Genomic DNA, 20791 nt, shown 5'->3' on the forward strand with positions numbered 1-20791 from the left:
CATCAAATATCAACAGGACTTAAAACAACTGTATATTGCTCAATATTCTCAATATTCTTATCTGCTAGAATTTCACCTTTCAAAAACAAAAGGACTACACAGGAGTGAGAGACAGGGAATTTCTGAGGGTGATGGAATTATTCCATATCTTGATTTTGTTGGTGGATATTTGATGGTATACTTTTGCCAAAACTTGCCAAACTATACTCTAAAAAGGACGAATTTTACTATCTGTAAGTCTCTTTATTTTTAAAAAGCGGAGGAAAAAGGCAGTACCACAGAAATGGCCTAAGGGTTTTCCCTTAACCTTTCAAAGACCATGTTATAATGAACAAGTCATATTTCAAATCAGTTTTAAGAAGAGAAAATCTGTAATACCAATACAGTTCTCTTTCTAAAGCAAATCACTGTCATTTTTATTCTAGCCTTACCAACCTACACCCATGTTAAGTACAGGGACCTGGAAACACATACAGTCACGTCAATTCTGGTAAGTAAATATTTGCACAGTCCAACTGAAACGGTTCTTAATTGAAATTCCTCTGCTGAGTCTGATCTTTAAGTCAACAGCATGGGACAATGCTGCAGGTGCTGACTGAAGAGCAACACTGAGACCAGGAATGGGCCTGCTCTGCTTGACCCTGCACAGGCCAGACTCCACCTCCAGTATTATACTCAGTTCAGGGCTTCACAGCTTTCAAACAATTTAGAAAAATTAGTACATTCAAAGGAAAACACTTAAAATGATGAGGGGACTTGAAATCAAGTCACCTGAGTAACTATGGCAAGAACTGAGGATTAGCCTGGAGAGAAAAAATTGCCAAAAGGGACACACCATGGGTATCTTCAAATATCAAAAAGACAGCTATCTTCACCACATCTTTAACTACTGTCACGCAGAAAACAGATAGGCTTTGTCTTATGGCCCATGGGATAGAACCAAATGGGTGGGATGCAGAGTGAGAATGGTGTCAGCCCAAAATAAAGCAAAACCTTCTACGAGTAACAGCCAGAGAAACTGTTAACATTTGGTTACTTACAACATCTTGAACACTCTACTAAGCTTTCTTCATATGCATTATTTCATGTTATCTTCATGACAGCCCCACGAGGTAGGGAGTATCATCTCCATTTTATGAATGAGAAAAACTGAGGCTTCAAGATGGAAAAGACGCTTACTGCTGAAGGTCACAGCTAACTTCAAGGGGCATGGGAACGCAGTGGGCAAGTCTCCCCTCACAGGGGTGTCAGGCACCCGGAACACACGCAGTGGAGATGGTGTCCATGGGAATCCCATCTCCAGAGAGTCTAGGATTCTTGTGCTAAAATTAGGCAACTCCGTGTCTCCTAAAGCATTCTAGAGCTCTTTAAGATAACTGAAGTAAAAAATAAAGTCAACTAAAATACCGCAATGTATACATTTGGCTAACTGTATCAGGTTTGATTGGCTTTTATCTTCCTGGATTATTTTGAAGTGTTACTGCTTTTTAAGGAGAATAATACATAACATCTGGAGTAGCAGAAAAGGCTCTGAAAAAGTCAGACGCCTTAAGTTTACACCTGGTTTTACTATGAAAATTAAACTTCTCTTCGTGTGTGTGTGTGTGTGTGTGTGTGTGTGTGTGTTTGTGTGTGTGTTTAATGCAGCAAAACCTCAGAGGCTCTTAGGCCTAAAATATGATAGACAAAGAAGAGTAAAATTTTAATTTCTTCTTCCTTCTGATGAAAGAAATGATCGTAAATAATAACAGAACTAGAAATTTGTTAACCTGATTTAAGATAAACAGGGAAAAAAAACCCTTTTCCTTTGGTAACACATATCTTTGGAAAATATCATTTAATAAATATGCAATTTACTATTTGAGACTAAACTCTATTTTGACAAGCCCAATTGTAATGAAGTAGGAAAGACTAAGCCCTGGAGAAGAAAAGGAAAAGCCAAGTTGCTTCCATGCTCACACCTGCACAGCTGATGACTTCAACGAACCCAGCTGATGCATGACCATTCCTGGTCAGGAGGCTTTGACAAAAACAAAACGAAACCCCAGGAAAACATGTTTTGCAAGAGTGCCTTTAAAAATCGGGCTGGGTGCAGTGACTCACGCCTGTAATCCCAGCACTTTGGGAGGCTGAGGCAGGCAGATCACCTGAGGTCAGGAGTTCAAGACCAGCCTGACCAATATGGAGAAACCCTGTCTCTACTAAAAATACAAAATTAGCCAGGCATGGTGGCGCATGCCTGTAATCCCAGCTACTTGGGAGGCTAAGGCAGGAGAATCACTTGAACCTGGGTGGAGGTTGAGGTGAGCCAAGATCGCGCCACTGCACTCCAGCCTGGGCAACAAGAGCGAAACTCCGTCTCAAAAAAATAAATAAATAAAAAGGAAAAGAAAAAATAAAACACACACTGAGAGAAGCGAAATGCAAGGAAGAAGCAGACACAAGGACGCGTCTTTCAGCACGAGAAGGCGGCCGCAGCCTTGAAGTCTGAAGGCTTTGAGATGAAGCTGGCGAAAATCGCTTCCAACAGAAACAAAGATCACTACCATCTACTACTGCAAACCCTCAGATTTTCTTCTACCAGAACAGTACGAAGTCTCTTTTTAAAAAATAATTCTGCCCCCCCAACACCGACCCTGCGCACTAAACAAAACTAAACTAAAAAATTCCTACCAGGAAAATGTTCACAATTAGCAAACTAGATGGAAGGATGCGGATACTCACTGTACTATTTTTCAACTACTCTGCAGTTTGAGATTTTCAAAGTAAACAGCAGAGAGAAATTTGCCTACAGTCACAATACTCACATTCAGCATACTTGAGGGAACGAAAGACTTTTCGTTGGGGCGTGACCCGTTTGATGTTTGGATGATCTTCAAGTGTTAGCAGCCCCGCTTTCTGTTTTTCTTTTATCTGAATCACCTCAAAATCACTAGGGTAGTCACTGGATGGATTGTTTCGAGGTATAATTCTCCAATTGTCTACTTCACTGCTCTTCAGGGCACTTGAAATAAATGAATTTCTAGCTTTGGCTGTAAAGTATCCATTGAAAGCCACAATATATTCTGAAACCAATCACCACAAACAAAAATAAGATTTACGCACATACATTATAACATATACTATATTGTATCTAATCTAAAATCTGGCAAAAGAAAAATTATCTTAAAGCCCACAGCAGACGAGAGAAAACACAAAGACTAGTTTAAGTACCTAGACAGCTGTCTGCAGAGCTTTGAGGAAAAATGATCTATATGGGGCTGGGCGCGGTGGCTCACGCCTGTAATCCCAGCACTTTGGGAGGCTGACGTGGGCAGATTACGAGGTGAGGAGTTTGAGACCAGCCTGGCCAACATAGTGAAACCCCATCTCTACTAAAAATACAAAAAATTAGCTGGGTGTGGTGGTGGGCGCCTATAATCCTGGGAGGCTAAGGCAGGAGAATCACTTGAACCTGGGAGGCGGAGATTGCAGTAAGCAGAGATTGCACCACTGCACTCCTGCCTGGTGACAGAGCAAGCCTCCGTCTCAAAAAAAAAAAAAAAAAGATCTCTATGAATCACCTAACCACAAAGAATACATCATTCGAAACCAGATACCCGTGATATTTTTTTAAAAAGCAAATACCTACAGAAGTTTGAATACACAACAAAGAAATGTATATAATTTTTATCAAGTAGGAAAAAGAAATTCAGAGAACTGAATGCTCAGTTAGTGTTTCTTAAAACGAAAACAGTAACAAAATTCCAGAGTGGATTATGTGAGACTATTTGCTCAGTTCTTCACATCTGGTCACTCAAACTTTAGAACATAAACATTCTGCACCTCCCAGCTCCCCACCTTCACCAATTACAATGGCACCTGTTCCAAAGAATCAAGGTGTAGGCTGGGCACAGTGGCTCATGCCTATAATCCCAGCATTCTGGGAGGTCGAAGTGGATGGATTGCTTGAGCTCAGGAGTTTAAGACCAGCCTGGGCAACATGGTGAAACAAAAAATAAAAAAATTAGCTGGGCAGGCCGGGCACAGTGGCTCATGCCTGTAATCCCAACACTTTGGGAGGCCAATGCAGGAGGATCACCTGAGGTCAAGAGTGCAAGACCAGCCTGACCAACATGGAGAAACGCAGTCTCTACTAAAAAGACAAAATTAGCCGGGCATGGTGGCACATGCCTGTAATCCCAGCTACTCGGGAGGCTGAGGCAGGAGAATCGCTTGAACCTGGGAGGTGGAGGTTGCGGTGAGCTGAGATGGTGCCATTGCACTCCAGCCTGGGCAACAAGAGTGAATCTCCATCTCAAAAAAGAAAAAAGAAAAAACAAAAATAAAAAAATTAGCTGGGCACGGTGGCAGGTGCCTGTAGTCCCAGCTACTCAGGAGGCTGAAGTGGGAGACCACTTGTGCCTGGGAGGCCAAGGCTGCAATGAGCTGAGATGGCACCACTGCACTCCAGCCTGGGCGACAAGAGCAAAACTCTGTCTCCAAAAGAAAAAGAAAAGAAGGTGTAGGTAAATAATTCATGTCAATTTCCTTTTATCATATAAGCTTACTCTACTGGGAAAACAAACTTAAGCAAAGTTAACATTCATGTGCTGTGCACTCAACCCATTGGAAATTTACTACAGAAGGCCAGGCACGGTGGCTCATGCCTGTAATCCCAGCACTTTGGGAGGCCAAGGAGGGTGATCACTTGAGGTCAGGAGTTCAAGACCAGCCTGGCTAACATGCTGAAACCCCGTCTCTACTAAAAATACAAAAAAAAAAAAAAAAAAAGGCCTGGCACGATAGTTCATGCCTGTAGTCCCAACACTCTGGGAGGCCAAGGCAGGCGGATCACGAGGTCAGGAGCTCGAGACCAGCCTGGCCAATGTGGTGAAACCCCATCTCTACTAAAAATAGAAAAAATTAACTGGGAGTTGTGGCGGGTGCCTGTAGTCCCAGCTGCTCAGGAGGCTGAGGCAGGAGAACTGCTTGAACCTGGGAGGTGGAAGTTGCAGTGAACCGAGATCGTGCCATTGCACTCCAGCCTCAGCAACAGAGTGAGACTCCATCTCAAAAACAAAACAAAACAAAACAGAACAAATCAAAACAAAAAATTAGCCAGGGACGGTGGCAGTCACCTATAATCCCAGCTACTTGGGAGGCTGAGGCATGAGAATTGCTTGAATCCAGGAGGTGGAGGTTACAGTGAGCCGAGATCATGCCACTGCACTCCAGCCTGGGTGACAGAGTGAGACTCTGTCTCAAAAAAAAAAAAAAGAAAGAAATTTACTGTAGAAAAGAGGAACATGTTATTCAGCAATAGCTAATTTTATATTAAGTAAGCTTTAAAAAAATAGGATGGGAGTTCCTAATACTTAAGACAACATCATTACCATATTCCACAACTGTTGATGAGAATTCCACCTTCAAAGTCAGGTGGGAACAGCCAGGGCATGGGGCCTTTTCAAAAGATTTCTTTTCCAGTCTGTCGCCCAGATGTTTCTTCCCACAGAGCAAAACCACGAGCAGAAGCAGCCAGATGTTGACAAGCTTCATGGTCACAAGCGAATATGATCATAAAATTGCATATATTCAAATCACACTTTTTTCTTCTTGATTAAAAGTGAATTTTTGTTTCAGCTAAAAGCTGCAACATTACTAATCAGCCATCTTACAGTCTTGCCCAACATAAATAAAAGTTAAATCCCATGGCCTTTTGTGGTTCAGCCTGAAGAGAGGCTTTCATTTCTTTCTCCGCTTCTTCTCCATCTTGGAAATAAGGCTTCTCTCACTCAGGCCGTGACGACTGAGTCCTGTACTCCATTTGTACCACAGAACCAACGTCCAATGGGGTTGATCAATCAACCACTGTGAGCCAATCTATGAAACAAAAAACAGTGCACACAGACATTAGTAGCAAACTGACATAGCCAGGTATGATTTAGTTGTATTTATAATTTAAGCAAGTGGGTCAGCCAGGCAAGGTGGCAGGTGCCTGTAGATCAGCTGCTTGGGAGGCTGAGGTGGGAAGATCACTTGAGCCCAGGAGTCTGAGTCCAGCCTGAGCAACAAAGTGAGACCCTATGTCTAAAATAATAAAATAATAAAATAAATAAGAGGGTAAAAGAGATATCCTGGTTTTAAGACAAATTAATGTGCCATACAACCATGAAACATATTATTTCATTTTTATTTACTTATTACTCACTGCTTTCACGGGAAAATTTTTTTTAGGCATCTTCAAAAATAAAACAATAAAATCAATGAGAAAAATGGAAAAAAGTAAGGACAACAAAATAACACCAAAAATATTAAGCACACTGGACCTGAGCATTCTAGCAGCCAAAGAGAAGAAGGCATCAGGATGATCCTTTGTTCTGTTTCAGATTCTGTATTTCCTATCATTTGCAACTCAATCCCCAGAGCATTTCCCCAGTTGGCACTTTTACTTCCCACAAATTTCATCAATTTTTCAGGCAAAAGCTTGGTATAAAGCCTTACTTTCTGCTGTAACATTAATACCTAACAGCAAAGTAATTTCCCTATCAGTGATATTTAACACCTTCTTTAAGAAACACTATGCTTTAATATTACATAGTTTGAAATATTTTCTACCAATTCTATGAAAAGAGCATAAAAGGGTTTACTGTCCTGAAATTTATTTTACCTGAAACCTCACACTTAAAGAAATGTAACCTGCTAAATGTGTTATAAAACCAGATTATCTCTTTACTGGAGTGACATGAGAAGACAGTTTGTGAGGGAAACTACTGCTAAAGAAAAATGTCACCTGAATATTAAATTAAGCATGCGCACAGATATCTTCCAAAACATCTGAATTGTAAGAAAAACTGCCATTCTTCACAATGAAAACAGAGCGATAGTAAAGAACAATGCTGGCTGTAGCATAACCAGAAAAACAGTTGCACAGACCATACCCGGGGCGTAAATAATCCAGCAGGGTAGGGGATGGGTAAATGAAGCAAGAGAGGCCTTCCAGTGCTACTTAGGATTTTATTATTATTATTATTTTTTTTTTTTTTTTGAGGAAGGGTCTCACTCTGACACCCAGGCTGGAGTGGGTGGCGCAATCTCTGCACAGTTCACTGCAGCCTCAACTTCCTGGGCTCAAGCAATCCTCCAGCCTCAGCCTCCCGAGTAGCTGGGACTATAGGCATGCATCACCACACCCAGCTAATTTTTGGATTTTAATATAGAGAAGCAGTCTCGGCATTTTGTCCAGGCTGGTCTCAAACTCAGGTGATCCAGCCACCTTGGCCTCCCAAAGTGTTGAGATTACAGACAAGAGCCGCCATGTCCGCCCACTACTTGTTTTTAAAAAGAAAACATTAAGGACAAGGAGTTAAGTCATCTATTACAAAAGGTACTTCAAGCTGTAAAACTCATTCTTCTGGCAGAAACTGGTGCTTCTGAGTTTTTGGTTTCTGGAAATATCAATATGTGCTTCTACGAGTAGAAAAACATTGATAAAGTACCGTGAGGGGTTAAAATATCCAAAAAACGTTTTTACTTTTACTAAAGAGGGACTTTCACTGCTGTACTAACAACTGATCCTGAAAAACAAGCCCATCTCTGGCACTGGCACTGGCAACTAAGGGGCGTGGAACTCATCAGAAATGAGTCAAAGTTTAAAGCAGTTACATCCACCTCGACAAGAACAACAATAACAATGCCAACTGCAAGAGCAAAAACAAAGAGCCAAACAGAAAGATCAGAAAAGCAGAGGGCACCTAAAGCCACCCTAACAGGTTTGACAGAAGTTTGCTCAGGAGTAAGCCCCTACTTCTTAGTTTCTTTATGCTTGATACATCCAGCAATGGAGTACCAAAGAAAATAATGACATGAAGCATGTATCTAGCTTAATTAAAGACTACTGGCCGAAGAAGATAAAAGCCAGTAATAACAGTTCTCATATCACAGTAAATGAATATATATTTAAAAGATATTTATTAAATGCGTTTCTCACTCAAGGCAGGCTTTTTGTTGTTGTTGTTAAAAAGGAAGGAACAATCATTTGAGCCCAGAGGTTTGAGACCAGCCTGGGCAACGTGGAGAAACCTCATCTCTACAAAAAAAACATTAAAAATTAGCTAGGCATGGTGGCGCGCCTATAGTCCCAGCTACTCAGGAAGATTGCTTTAGCCTGGAGGGTTGCAGTGGGCCAAGAGTGCACCACTACATTCCAGCCTGGGTGACACAGTGAGACTCTCTCTCCACTTAAAAAACAAACAAACAAACAAAAAAGCCTCTTAAAACTTTTCTGCCTCAAGCTAAAGAATCTATGACACATGTGGGCTCCATATAACACAAATATAATTAAGTAATAGTACTGAGAAAATCTTAGACCTAACTGGGTTAAATCAACTTTAATTCAACCTGTTCTAAAATAATTCACTCAAAGGTAAAGACTCTTAGGTAAGAAATTTTAACACAGCCCATGCAGAAGAGATGGCTGATGTTCTCTTACAACTTAGGCAGGTACTTGCCTTTAAAAGAAATGAAAAGAAAGGATTTGGCGGTTTTCAAATGAAAAAAAGGCCAGGCGCGGTGGCTCACACCTGTAATCCTGGGTGTGATTCCACTTTAGGAGGCTGAGGCCGGCGGATCACTTGAGGCCAGGAGTTAGAGACCAGCCTGGCCAACATGGTGAAACCCCATATCTACTAAAAACCAACCAACCGACCCAAAAAAAAAAATACAAAAATTAGTTGGGCATTGTGGTGCATGCCTGTAATCCCAACTACTCCGGAGGGTGAGGCAGGATAATCGTTTGAACCCAGGAGGCAGAGGTTGCAGTGAGCTGAGATTGGGACACTGCAGCAGTCCCGCCTGGGTGACAGCGAGACTCTGTCTCAAAAAAAAAAAATAAATAAATGAAAAAAACTCTCTAAGGTAATCAGTTCTTCCCCAAATTAAAAATAATAATAAATGTGGGGTATGTGGAAAACAGAGAAGGCAATTATTATCATAAGACATTTTACCTTAACTCATTCATTAGATCAGGCAATTTTAGAATACTTACCAAGTTAAGATACTATCAGGTACTACAGAACAAACACGGACTATTAGCTAGTCAGGGCACAACCTTCCAAGTGTGATGTAGTTAAATTTAAGGACAACTAAACAAAATGCAGGAAATGAAAATGTGAAAGGAGAGGCAGGCATCCAGGCCACAGATGCTGAACTGACACACAGTTCTCTCCGGGCTGTGAAGAGGCGGCTTCTGCTGGGGAGGGGGCACTGCAGCAGCTCTGGAAGAATCTGAGCTCAGTAGCACTGAAAGATGGGCGTGAGGGAGGGAGGAGCAGAGCATCCCAAGCGTGGCAACACTGGAACCACAGGAAGACACAGATGTGCACAAGGATCAGCACTGCCCAGCCTGAGGAGGGAGGCAAGGAGGTGTCCGTCTAGCGAGGCTGAAAGACGAGGGGGGAAGAGAGGACCTCAAGCAGGTACACCCCAGCCAACAGCCGGAAATACGGACCTCTTCCATCCAATGGCAGTGAAGAGCACAGAGATAAAACACAGCCCAACGACGAGACTGCTGAGCTCCTGTGTTCACCCATCCAACTCATCTAGTGAGAAACTACTAAAAGCCAGGCACTGTTCTAGGAGTAGGGATAGAGTAATGAACAAAATACCATAGAAATCTCTGACCTCACGGAGCTTACCTTCCAGTGCAGGGAGACAGACCGTAACTAAGACAAGTAAAACATACAGTATTTAGCTGGTGATAAAAACTACATTTGGGAAGGAGAGAAAACAGCTAGGCACGATGGGTCACACCTGTAATCTCAGCACTTTGGGAGGCCAAGGCGGGTGGATCACCTGAGGCCAGGAATTCGAGACCATCCTGGCCAAAATGGTGAAACCCCACCTCTACTAAAAACAAAAAAATTAGTCGTGCGTGGCGACAGGCGCCTGTAGCTCCAGCTACTCAGTAGGCTCAGGCAGAAGAATCACTTGAACCCAGGAGGCAGAGGTTGCAGTGAGTTGAGATCGTGCCACTACACTCCAGCCTGGGCAACAAGAGCAAAACTCCATCTCAAAATAATAATAATAATAAATAAATAAGAAAACACAAAGAAAAGGAATATGACAAGTCAGGAGAGGGCTGGGTTTCTGCTACAGCACTACCTACAGCAGCTGCTGAGAAGGGGTCTTTTCAGTGAAGGCCTGAAGGATGCAGGAAGCTGGCCAAGGGTCTGGGGAAACAGGATCCAGGCAGTGGGAAAGCAAGTGAAAAGGCCCTGGGGCAAGGACCATTCCTGGTGTGTGTGTGAGGAAAGAAAGGCAAAGAGGCCAGCGGGAAGCAAGGGAAAGCCAAAGATGAAATCTGAGGAAACCGGGAGACAGCCCAGGGAAGGCCTGCAGGTCACAGAAAGGACTTCAGCTTTGATTCTGACTGGGAAGAGAAAGCATGAGGCAGTCCTGAGCACGTGTGGCTTGTGTTTTAGCCAGATCGCTCTGGCTTCGGTGTGGAAGGGGGCACAGGCTGAGGCAGGGAGCATCTGGAGGACTTCCGTACAAGAGCCAAGGGAGAGAAGATGCTGGCTTGGACCAGGGCGGGCAGGGGAGGTGATAAGAGGCGATGACATTACAGATACGAAGGCAGAAGTGACAGATGGGCTGTCCACCAGATGTGGGGGCACACAAGTGAGGATTCAAGGCAACACCAAGGCTGGTTGCCCGACTGGACCAGTGGTGCTTGCCCCTAATTGAGATGGGGAAGACAGCAGGAAAGCTGACTTGGGAGACACCAGCAGGAGCTGAGCTCTGAGCATGTTCAATTTCGGATGAGCCTCAGGGTCAAGGGCACGGCTTAGGGCAGAATCCCGGGCAATCCAGTACCTTTTCTTTCAGAGATGGCAAAAGACAGAGGGCACAGGAAAGTCAGAAGGAAACCAAAATCAGTGGGAAATAATTTGCAAAAGGAAGGTGGGCAAGCTGAAGAGACAGAGACCACTAGCTTAGTAACTGGCCCCTTCCAGAAAAGGGCCACACTAGTGAGCGGGTGAGCCTGGCCGCCAGACTGTACCTTACCAAGCCTGTCAACTCCAGCCCACCTGCTCTAGTCACCAAGCCACCAGTGGCTGGAAGGAAGGTGCCTTCAAGTGTAAAAATCCCATGGGGATGAATGATAAGGCTGGAAATGACAGGGACAAGGACACACCCCCTTGCTGTGTTTGGATCTCGTGGACTTGCTTGCGTTCCTAAAAGGTGAGCTAAAATCCAGGCTCTATCAAGACTATTTCAAAGGATTTATGGCTCAAAAAATATGGCAACAGATCCTGAGGTTTCTATAGTTTCCCAATCCTAGAATAAGGTGGTTTCAAAATATAAATTTCCTTTAAGGAAAACAAAAATGCCATAACGGGGGCAAGAGACCAGTAAATGATGGCAGAGGGACTGGGGTCCCCAAGGCTGAGCTTATTACCAACCCCCGAACTCCTGGGCCTATTTTTTTTTTTTTTGAGACAGGGTCCCGCTTGGTCACCCAGGGTGGAGGACAGTGGCACAATCATGGTTCACTGCAGCCTCAACCTCTGAGGCTCAAGTGATCCTCCTACCTCAGCCTACCAAGTTGCACGGACTACAATACGGCACTATGTCCAGCTAATTTTTTTTTTTTTTTTTGTAGAGATGGGGGTCTCACCTTGTTGCCCAGGCTGGTCTCAAACTCCCAGGCTCAAGATATCCTCCTGCCTCAGCCTCTCAGAGTGTTGGGATTATAGGCATGAGCCACTGTGTCTGGCCTGGGCCTAAAGAGATCTTGTCCCCACAGACTCACTAGACAAGTCAGTGAGGCTTTGCAAGCACAGACTGCACTTTCCAGGGTCTAATACATCTATTCAGCTGTGACGAATGGTCCCTCCTGGTTCTCACTATACAATGCAAACCCGATGGGCACACTTCCCAAGATGGGCTCACCACTGAGAGGTAAGCAGACAAGCAGCAGCAGGACAGGCAGACAGAGCATGCACACACAGATACAGACACACAAACCTAAGGAAAAGCACTGTTTTCTTCTTTTTAGATGGAGTCTCACTTTGCTGCCCAGGCTGGAGTGCAATGGCACGACCTCTGCTCACTGCAACCTCCAACTCCCAGCTGAAGCGATTCTCCTGCCTCAGCCTCCTGAGTAGCTGGAATTACAGGCACACGCCACCACACCCAGCTAATTTTTGTATTTTTAGTAGAGACAGGATTTTGCCATGCTGGCCAGGCTGGTCTCGAACTCCTGACCTCAGGTGATCCAGCACCTGCCTCAGCCTCCCAAAGTGCTGGGATTACAGGTGTGAGCCACTGCGCCCAGCCCAAGAAAAGCACTTTCTAAAGAGTGCTAACTCTGCCTTTTCTTCTTCCCTTCCTGAAGAATTCTGCTGAAGACAAGAAGGCAGGCGTTCATGGGAGAATGGCAGAAGCCCACTACAGGGTCTTAAGAGTCTGAGCGGAGTGAGGAAGGTATGTGAAGGGAGAGGCACCAGGTGAGGGGGTCAGAGCCTGGCAAGTGAAGAAGGCACCAGGCAGGCAGTGGGGTGATAGCAGTGAAGGTAAAACTGTTTGATCAAATAAATATTTTACATATAATGGGATGCGGCTTTCTTACTGTCAGAGAAGAAAGTTAGAAATATGAAAGAGAAAAAATAAATGAACCATTCAGTATCAGAACAAAATGATAAATGCTGGTCTGAATTTAAGGTTTTCAATACATAGACTAACAGATGTAGAAAGAAAGAAATCTAAGTGCACGTGTACGTGCTACACACATTTCCTAGCTATCTCCAAAAGGGTGTGGCAGCAGTGAAATCCCAACAGCAAGGAGCCCACCTACTGCCCACAATTGGTTCTAAATATCACTCTCCACTAAAAGAACCTAGGCTCTTTGGACAAAGAACTAGTTCCAGTCTGGGTACGGTAAGAACAAGATGGGTTTGGAACAGTGTCACTCAATGAGGAAAGGCTCACAGAATGATGGGGAAGTGTCCAAGGAACATGGAAGCCAGTTTGGTGGGGCCCCCACTAACAAAATCCGGGACAATCTGAGCATCACGATAAATAATAACAGATCCCAACCCGTGGAATAAAACAGGAAAACAGGAGTCCACAATGACATGAAGTTTGAAAAAGAATGAGATATTTACATCATGTCAAAATGCCCAACTGCCAACAAAATATCTCTTTTCAAAGGGAAAAGTCATTTTACAGTGGAGAAGCTCCACCAAGTTGTCCAAGGGAAGCAGTAATGGGACACACGGAGCCAGGTCTACGAGAGCAGATGCACTGAGAAGAGCCGGCATCACTTCTGGGAGGTTCCTGACAAAGATGCACAACCTGAAATCAAATCATGAGAAACATCAGACCAACCCAAATTGAGGGACATTCTACAGAATCAACTGGCCTAGAATTTTCCTAAGCACCAAGGTAATGAAAGGCAAGAATGACTGAGCTACTGCCCCAGATTGAAGGAGACTCCAGAGTCAGTGCAACTCATGAATCCAAACTGGATCCATCTGCTGTAACAGGCACTCAGGGACAACTGGCAAAACCCAAGTAAGCCTGCCCGTGGATCAGATGGTAGTGATGTATCAAGACTAATTTCCTGATTTTGACAACTGTGCTGTGATTATGTAAGAAGGTCCTTGCTTGGAAAATACACCCACTAAAACACCGGGGGATAATGGAGTATCAGGTCTGCAATTTACTCTCAAATGCTTTAGAGAAAAAATGGTTTCATACTGTTCGTGCAACCTTCCTGTTAGGTTCAGCCTGTTTCCAAAACAGGCAGAAAAAATAAGTTCTTTATTTACCCTCACCTGCCAAGGACGCATGAGGCTGGGCTATTTTAAATGTGGTGACAGGCACATTCTAAGCCTCTTATTCAGATTCAGTCAGTGCTGATCACTGCATACATAACCAGACCACACACGTCAGACAGATTTACACTCATCAATTGTTACGTAGAAGGACATCCAAAGATGGGACTGAGCTAGTTAAAGGGAAACTAAAAGCATATCTCATTCTAGGAAATTGACAGAATTCCTGAAAGGATTCATGGTAAATTTCTGCTAACATTAACCTGTGTTTCTATGATTTACATTAAACAAATCAAGTAACATTTTGACAGAAAAACCTGAGGCACCCCCTCTAGAATAAAAATTATGTTTATTAAGTTAACAAATCCAATAAAATAAGTACTCTCATATGTTGCTGGTGAATATTAAAAAAAAACAACCTTTTAGAATGGCAATTTTCACATATGTATTAAAACGCTTAAAAATGAACATTAAAAACTTTTCGTCTAACAAATCCAAAATAAGAAAAACACTCACTGAGCATTTATGATGTAGCAGGTGCCATTCTAAGTAGTCTGCAAATATTAACTAATTTAATCCTCCCAACAACCCGTTACTACCCCCACTTTCAGATGAGAACTGAGACCCAGAGTAGCTAAGCAACTTGCCTGGGGCCACAACACCAGCAAGTAGAACAGCTGGGCTGAGAACTCAGGTGGTCAGCCTGGCTCCAGAGGCCACACTCTTCAGAGGCAGGTCGCCTGCTTTCCTAAAATCTCCCCTAGGGATTCAATCCAAGAAGTATGAATCTGGAAGCACATAAGGCTTTATGTCCAAAGATACACACTGCAAGATTATGAGCAGGAAAAGCTGGAGACCATCTGAATGTGCATAAACAAGGAGACTGGCTCAATAATTATGGTCGGTGCACACCACAGAACGCCACGCAGCAATTTCAAATGCTCCTCCTGCAGTAGGCTGAAAAATGGTCCCCACAAAGATGCTCACATCCTCATTCCTAGAACCTGGGAATGTTACTTTACACACAAAAGCATACAGGCCAAAGGGACTTTGCAGCTGTGACTAAATGAAGGCACTGAGACAGTATCCTCGGTGATCCAGGTGGGCCAGGTGTCATCACAAGGGTGTCTATAAGAGAGAGGCAGGAGATGACAACAGGTAGTAATAGATGTGATGATGAAAGCAACAGGCTGGCTGGGCACAGTGGCTCACGCCTGTAATCCCAGCACTGTGGGAGGCCAAGTCGGGCAGATCACCTGAGGTCAGGCGTTCGAGACCAGCCTGGCCAACATGGTGAAACCCCGTCTCTACAAAAAATACAAAAATTAGCTAGGTAATGGTGGTGGGTGCCTGTAATCCTAGCTACCCGGAAGGCTGAGGCAGGAGAATCACTTGAACCCGGGAGGCAGAGGTTGCAGTGAGCCAAGACTGTGCCACTGCACTCCAGCCTGGGCAACAGAGAGAGACTCCATCTCAAAAAAAAAAAAGAAAAAAGAAAGCAATCAAGAGGTTGAGATAATTTGAGGAAGAAGTCAGGAGCCAAGGAACGCAGGTGGCCTGTAGAAACTGAAAAACAAAAGGAAACTGATTCTCTCCACAGAGCCTCCAGACGGAGACAACCCTGCTGAAACTTTGACTTGAGCTCAGTGAGGCGGATTCTGGACTTCTGATATCCAGAACTGTGAGACAGTAAATTCATGTTGTTCTAGGCCACTGTTTGTGGTCATTTGTTACAATAGAAATATGGGGAAATGCTAATGAAATGTTAAGTAAAACAGTTCATGCACCACATAATCCAAATTTTTACATTTCAATTTTAAAATGTGTCTATGAGCAAAAAAAAAAAAAAATGCAGCTGGGTGCGGTGGCTCATTCCTGTAATCCCAGCACTTTGGGAAGCCAAGGCAGGCGGATCACTTGAGGCCAGGAGTTCAAGACCAGCCTGGCCAACATAGCAAAACCCTGTCTCTACTAAAAATACAAAAAATTAGCTGTGCATGGTGACACATGCCTGTAATCCCAGCTACTCAGGAGGCTGAGGCAGGAGAATCGCTTGAACCAAGGAGGTGGAGGTTGCAGTGGGCGGAGATAAAGCCACTGCATTCCAGCCTGGGCAATGGAGAGACTGTCTCAAATGGAAACAATGACAACAAAAAAAACCACTGAAAGACACATACCAAAATGGTTACAGTGGTTCTACCTTTCAATTGTATGATTACAGATAGTTAATTTCTGCTTTAATTTATTTGTTTATAGGGAGCATATGTTACTTTTATACTTAGATAAAACATATTTTAGTATTTTTAAAAACTTTTCAAATAAATTGGTTCACTCCTGTAATCCCGGCACTTTGGGAGGCCGAGGCAGGCGGATCATGAGGTCAGGAGATCGAGACCATCCTGGCTAACACACTGAAACCCCGTTTCCACTAAAAAATACAAAAAAAATTAGCTGGGCGTGGTGGTGGGCTCCTGTAGTCCCAGATACTCAGGAGGCTGAGACATGAGAATGGCGTGAATCTGGGAGGCGGAGCTTCCAGGGAGCTGAGATCACGCCACTGCACTCCAGCCCGGGCAACAGAGCGAGACTCGGTCTCAAAAAAAACAAAAAAAAACAAAAAAAGAATACGCCGGGCTCGGTGGCTCACAGCTATAACCCCAGCACTGTGGGAGGCCGAGACGGGCAGATCACCCGAGGTCAGGAGTTCAAGACCAGCCTGGCCAACATGGTGAAACCCCATCTCTACTAAAAATACAAAAATTAGCTGGGTGTGGTGGCACACACCTGTAATCCCAGCTACTCAGGAGGTTGAGGTGGGAGAATCGCTTGAACCTGGGAGACAGAGGTTGCAGTGAGCTGAGATCAAGCCACTGCACTCCAGCCTGGGAGACAGAGCGAGATGCCATCTCAAAAAAAAAAAAAAAAAAAAGAATAAATCATACTTTCTGGTAAGAGAGTGGCACAAAAATTCAAATATATATGCTAGATTTAATTTTATTTGTATATATACTAGAGCTTAAAAGGGATCTATCTCCTACAAATTGTTCTCAAAGATCTGTCTACAGCTACTTGCCAGCCTAAGGAAAAGATAGCCTTTGAAAATATTAAACTTTTGGCTAGTTCATTCTGAAAGGCTTATTATCATTTGTAATATCACTTAACTTAGAGAGCCTACTTAGGGCTGTTACTGTATCCACTAAATGTTAACTGGATTTAATTTCTATAAATTCTTTATGCAGAAGACCTGGTTATCTTTCCATATAAAGGCATAACGTTCAAAGATGGTATTCCCGTACCTATGGGTTTTTCATGAGAATGATTACACCTCTAATACACGTATAATTAAAAATTTTTGACATCAAGTACTAACTGAAAAAGACACCGTTCAAATTATAGAAATAGAAAATAGTATTTAATGGGATTTGAGTAGAAGGGAGACTCAGTAGAAGAAATGTATTACTTGCGCAAGCAACTGGCCTAGCTGGTGGCTAGCATTCTTTGCAGCTCTTGGAGTCTCCCACTTACAATTTTCACAATAAAAGAATATCACAAAGATTATAATTCTGGGCATAACTAAAATACATCTGAAATTATCTCTTTAAAAATAATTAGAACATAATTTAGGTGAGTGAAAATGACTTGTATCACCCGACAATCATCTAATTATGCAGCTATGCCTTGCTTTGTAATAAACTAGTTTACTAAAATAGCTCCAAAGGAGACTGAATTGTGTTTAGACCACGAAAGGTTACTATCCAGTCCAATTAAAAGTCGGCTGAAAAACTACCACCTTCAGAACTAATTGCATACTTGGCTATATTACCATTGTTTAACAGGCTAACAATTAAGTCATGCCAGACCAAACTATGGTAAAACAAAGGTGTCTTCCCTTTTTTTTTTTTTTTTTTTTCTTTTTTTGAGACGGAGTCTCGCTCTGCCGCCAGGGTGGAGTGCAATGGCGCGATCTCAGCTCACTGCAACCTCTGCCTCCGGGGTTCAAGCGATTCTCCTGCCTCAGCCTCCCAAGTAGCTGGGACTACAGGCGCATGCCACCACGCCCGGCTAATTTTTTTGTATTTTAGAGACGGGGTTTCACTGTGTTAGCCAGGATGGTCTCAATCTCCTGACCTCGTGATCTGCCCGCCTCGGCCTCCCAAAGTGCTGGGATTACAGGCGTGAGCCATCACGCCCGGTCGACAAAGGTGTATTCGGGTGTATTCTTACATCCGATGCAACCATTTATTCTGGCACACTCCATCCATCAGGTGGTCTTGTATTAAAAAGAAAAAAAATTCATCCCAATGTATCACTACAGTCAAGAGTGAGAAACCTTGGTCTGTGGTGTCTTCACTGCCTACTGTTTCACACACATCACTCTTGTCTCCTTTTATTCTTACCCCTTAGTCATGCAGTATTAGCTGGCCACACATAGGGCACCTCCAAACTTCTAACTTCCTTATTTTACTTTAAAATGCCTTTCCTCAGCTGGGCGCGGTAGCTCACGCCTGTAATCCCAGCACTTTGGGAGGCCGACGCGGGCGGATCATGAGGTCAAGGAGTCTGAAACCAGCCTGACCAACATGGTAAAAACCCGTCTCTACTAAAAATACAAAAATTAGCCGGGTGTGGTGGCGGGCACCTGCAGTCCCGGCTACTCGGGAGGCTGAGGCAGGAGAATCGCTTGAACCCGGGAGGCAGAAGTTGCAGTGAGCCGAGATCCACCACTGCACTCCAGCCTGGGCGACAGAGCGAGACTCTGTCTCAAAAAAATAAAAATAAATAAAGCGTTTCCTCAAGCAGAATTCCGCAGCACTGATGGCAGCAATGTACAGTTCACCTTAGCCTTCAGTCTTCCAAGTTTTTTTTTGTTTTTTGTTTTTTGAGACATAGTCTCACTCTGTCGCCCAGGCTGGAATGCAGCGGCGTGATCTTGGCTCACTACAACCTCTGCCGCCTGGGTTCAAGGGATTCTCCTGCCTCAGCCTCCCGAGTAGCTGGGATTACAGGCGCCTGCCATTGCGCCCAGCTAATTTTTGTATTTTCAGTAGAGACGGGATTTCACCACGTTGGCCAGGCTGGTCTTGAACACCTGACCTTGTGATCCGCCCGCCTCGGCCTCCCAAATTGTGGGATTACAGGCGTGAGCCACCGCGCCCGGCCCAGCCTTCCTAGTTCTTGTTAACCTCCTGACTAGAAGAGCTCCCACTTCTTCCCTAGGTGCTTCAAAGGTTCCGCAAGCTCTGCATTGGAATTTTCCCTTTTTATATAGAAAGGACCAACTCTTGATTATACGGGGTGCCTGGGGAGTGCAGTCGTTTGACACGTGTCTGGGTCAGGTCCCAGCTCCCATTCTCAATCAACAGTTTTGCTGTCATCCGCATCACACATTAGAGCATAAAATAAACTTTTATTTGTCAAAAGTGTTCTGCATAAATGCTTAAACAAAATGTGGTATAGCCATACAACTGAATATTATTTGGTCATAAAAGGAATGAAATCCTGATTCATGCTACAACATGGATGAACTGTGAAAACATGCTAAGTGAAAGAAGCCTGACACAAAAGGCCGCATATCATATGTTTCCATCTGAATATACGAAATAGTCATTAAAGGCAAATCTAGAAAGACAAAGTAGATGAAAGGTTGCCTGTGGCGGGGCCTGGAAATGGGCATTGACTACAACTGGGCATCAGAGGTCTTGGGGTAACGGAAATGTTCTAAAAGTGGATTTGGTAGTGGCTGTGCTGCTGTAAATTTACTAAAAACCACTGAATAGTACACTTAAAACAGGTGGATTTTATGGTATGTAAATTCTACTTCAATGAAGCTCTTACATTAAAAAATAAGTATAAATAATAAAAGCGGATTCTCCAGATTGAAAAAAAAAAAAATGAGAGGAATTACTTCTCTTCTGCAAGCCCTCCTTTTCGTAGACATACAATTGGAGACCTTGACGTTAGGAGGGCTTACCTACACAGTTCAGACTAAAGGATGAGTCTCCAGAATTCAACGCAGGTCGTATTCCACTCCACGTAATTTCGAAGTGTCAATCAGAATCTAATAACTTAATTTGTGTAGACAAATAGGCCAAGATTCTCAGGGGCTCAACCCAATATGAAAGGTAAACATCTTAATAAAAATACTGACGATCCACAACGGTCTTAGGTAGCGCAACCATGCCAAGGCGAGGCAAGATTTTTAAGAAGCTACAGGTTTAAAAGGCAATCTGGTTCTGAGAGTTCGCCGAACAGAATCCCCGCATTTCCAAAAACCAGCAGCGCAATATGCACAGACCGAGATAAGGCAAAGAATCGACGTCTTTTAAACCTGACGCCAGCACTGCCCCGGAAGCGCACCTAGAATTGAGTCTGTCTGGAGGCTCCGGGCCAGAGCAGGGCGTATTGTTTCACTCGGTGAATGCTCATTTCACGTAAAGAAAACCAGGCAACGGAACAAGCTGCCGGAGCGCGCAGACCCCCGCAGGGCCGCGGTACAGGCACGCTGTGTCCAAACAAGCGCCGGAGGCCCCGCGCCCACCTCCCCCGACCCGGCCCGGCCCCCGCAGCCCTCGCCTCGGGGCCTCGGACGCAACCGGCACACCTGAGCGAGCGGGCCGCCGCCGCTAGGCGGAGCGGGTCGGGGAGGCCGCGCGCGGGCGGCTGACGTACCTGCGCCGCCGGGAGCTCAGGGCCGGCGGGCCCGGGATAACGGCGCCTCCGCGGCGAACACGCCTGGGCACTCCATTCGGGGCTGTTTACTCCCAACTCTCGCGAGACTGGGCGACCGGGCCAGCGAGGCCCACAGCTGGGAGCCTCAGCTCCGCCGACCCAGCGTGCCCTGTCTGTCCCGCGCTCCCGGGGCTTGCGTGCGCGCTCTGGACGCCGTGGGCAGCGGGACCACGCCGGGAGGATGGACGAAGGTCTCGCGACATTTGCGGCGGCGGGGGCCGGTGGCAGGGTGGAAGCGGAGG

The 20791-nt window shown here is 44.5% G+C and overlaps 1 protein-coding gene across 3 annotated transcripts in view, besides 1 other annotated feature; it reads right to left on the bottom strand.

Moving 5' to 3' along the window:
- MBTPS1 (membrane bound transcription factor peptidase, site 1) overlaps window positions 1-20697 on the bottom strand; it is a 63180-nt gene extending 42483 nt beyond the window's left edge. Inside the window, exons 1-3 of one of the 3 annotated variants that reach the window (NM_003791.4) lie at window positions 20490-20697; window positions 5376-5862; window positions 2808-3065 (exon numbers count right to left, since the gene is read on the bottom strand). In NM_003791.4, the coding sequence (NP_003782.1) occupies window positions 2808-3065; window positions 5376-5538 (421 nt within the window). In that variant the 5' untranslated portion in view covers window positions 5539-5862; window positions 20490-20697. Of the gene's footprint in view, window positions 1-2807; window positions 3066-5375; window positions 5863-13148; window positions 13334-19791 lie in introns of those variants that run through there. The other 2 variants (XM_047434831.1, XM_047434830.1) reach the window with 2 other exon arrangements.
- Window positions 20188-20617: a silencer, noted in NCBI's record as "silent region_7776". NCBI's record gives its function as "represses an Ori minimal core promoter by ATAC-STARR-seq in GM12878 lymphoblastoid cells {active_cell/tissue: GM12878}" and the evidence as "EXISTENCE:reporter gene assay evidence [ECO:0000049][PMID:35858748]".

The sequence above is a fragment of the Homo sapiens genome, chromosome 16, assembly GCF_000001405.40.
Source record: "Homo sapiens chromosome 16, GRCh38.p14 Primary Assembly".
Taxonomy (NCBI): domain Eukaryota; kingdom Metazoa; phylum Chordata; class Mammalia; order Primates; family Hominidae; genus Homo; species Homo sapiens.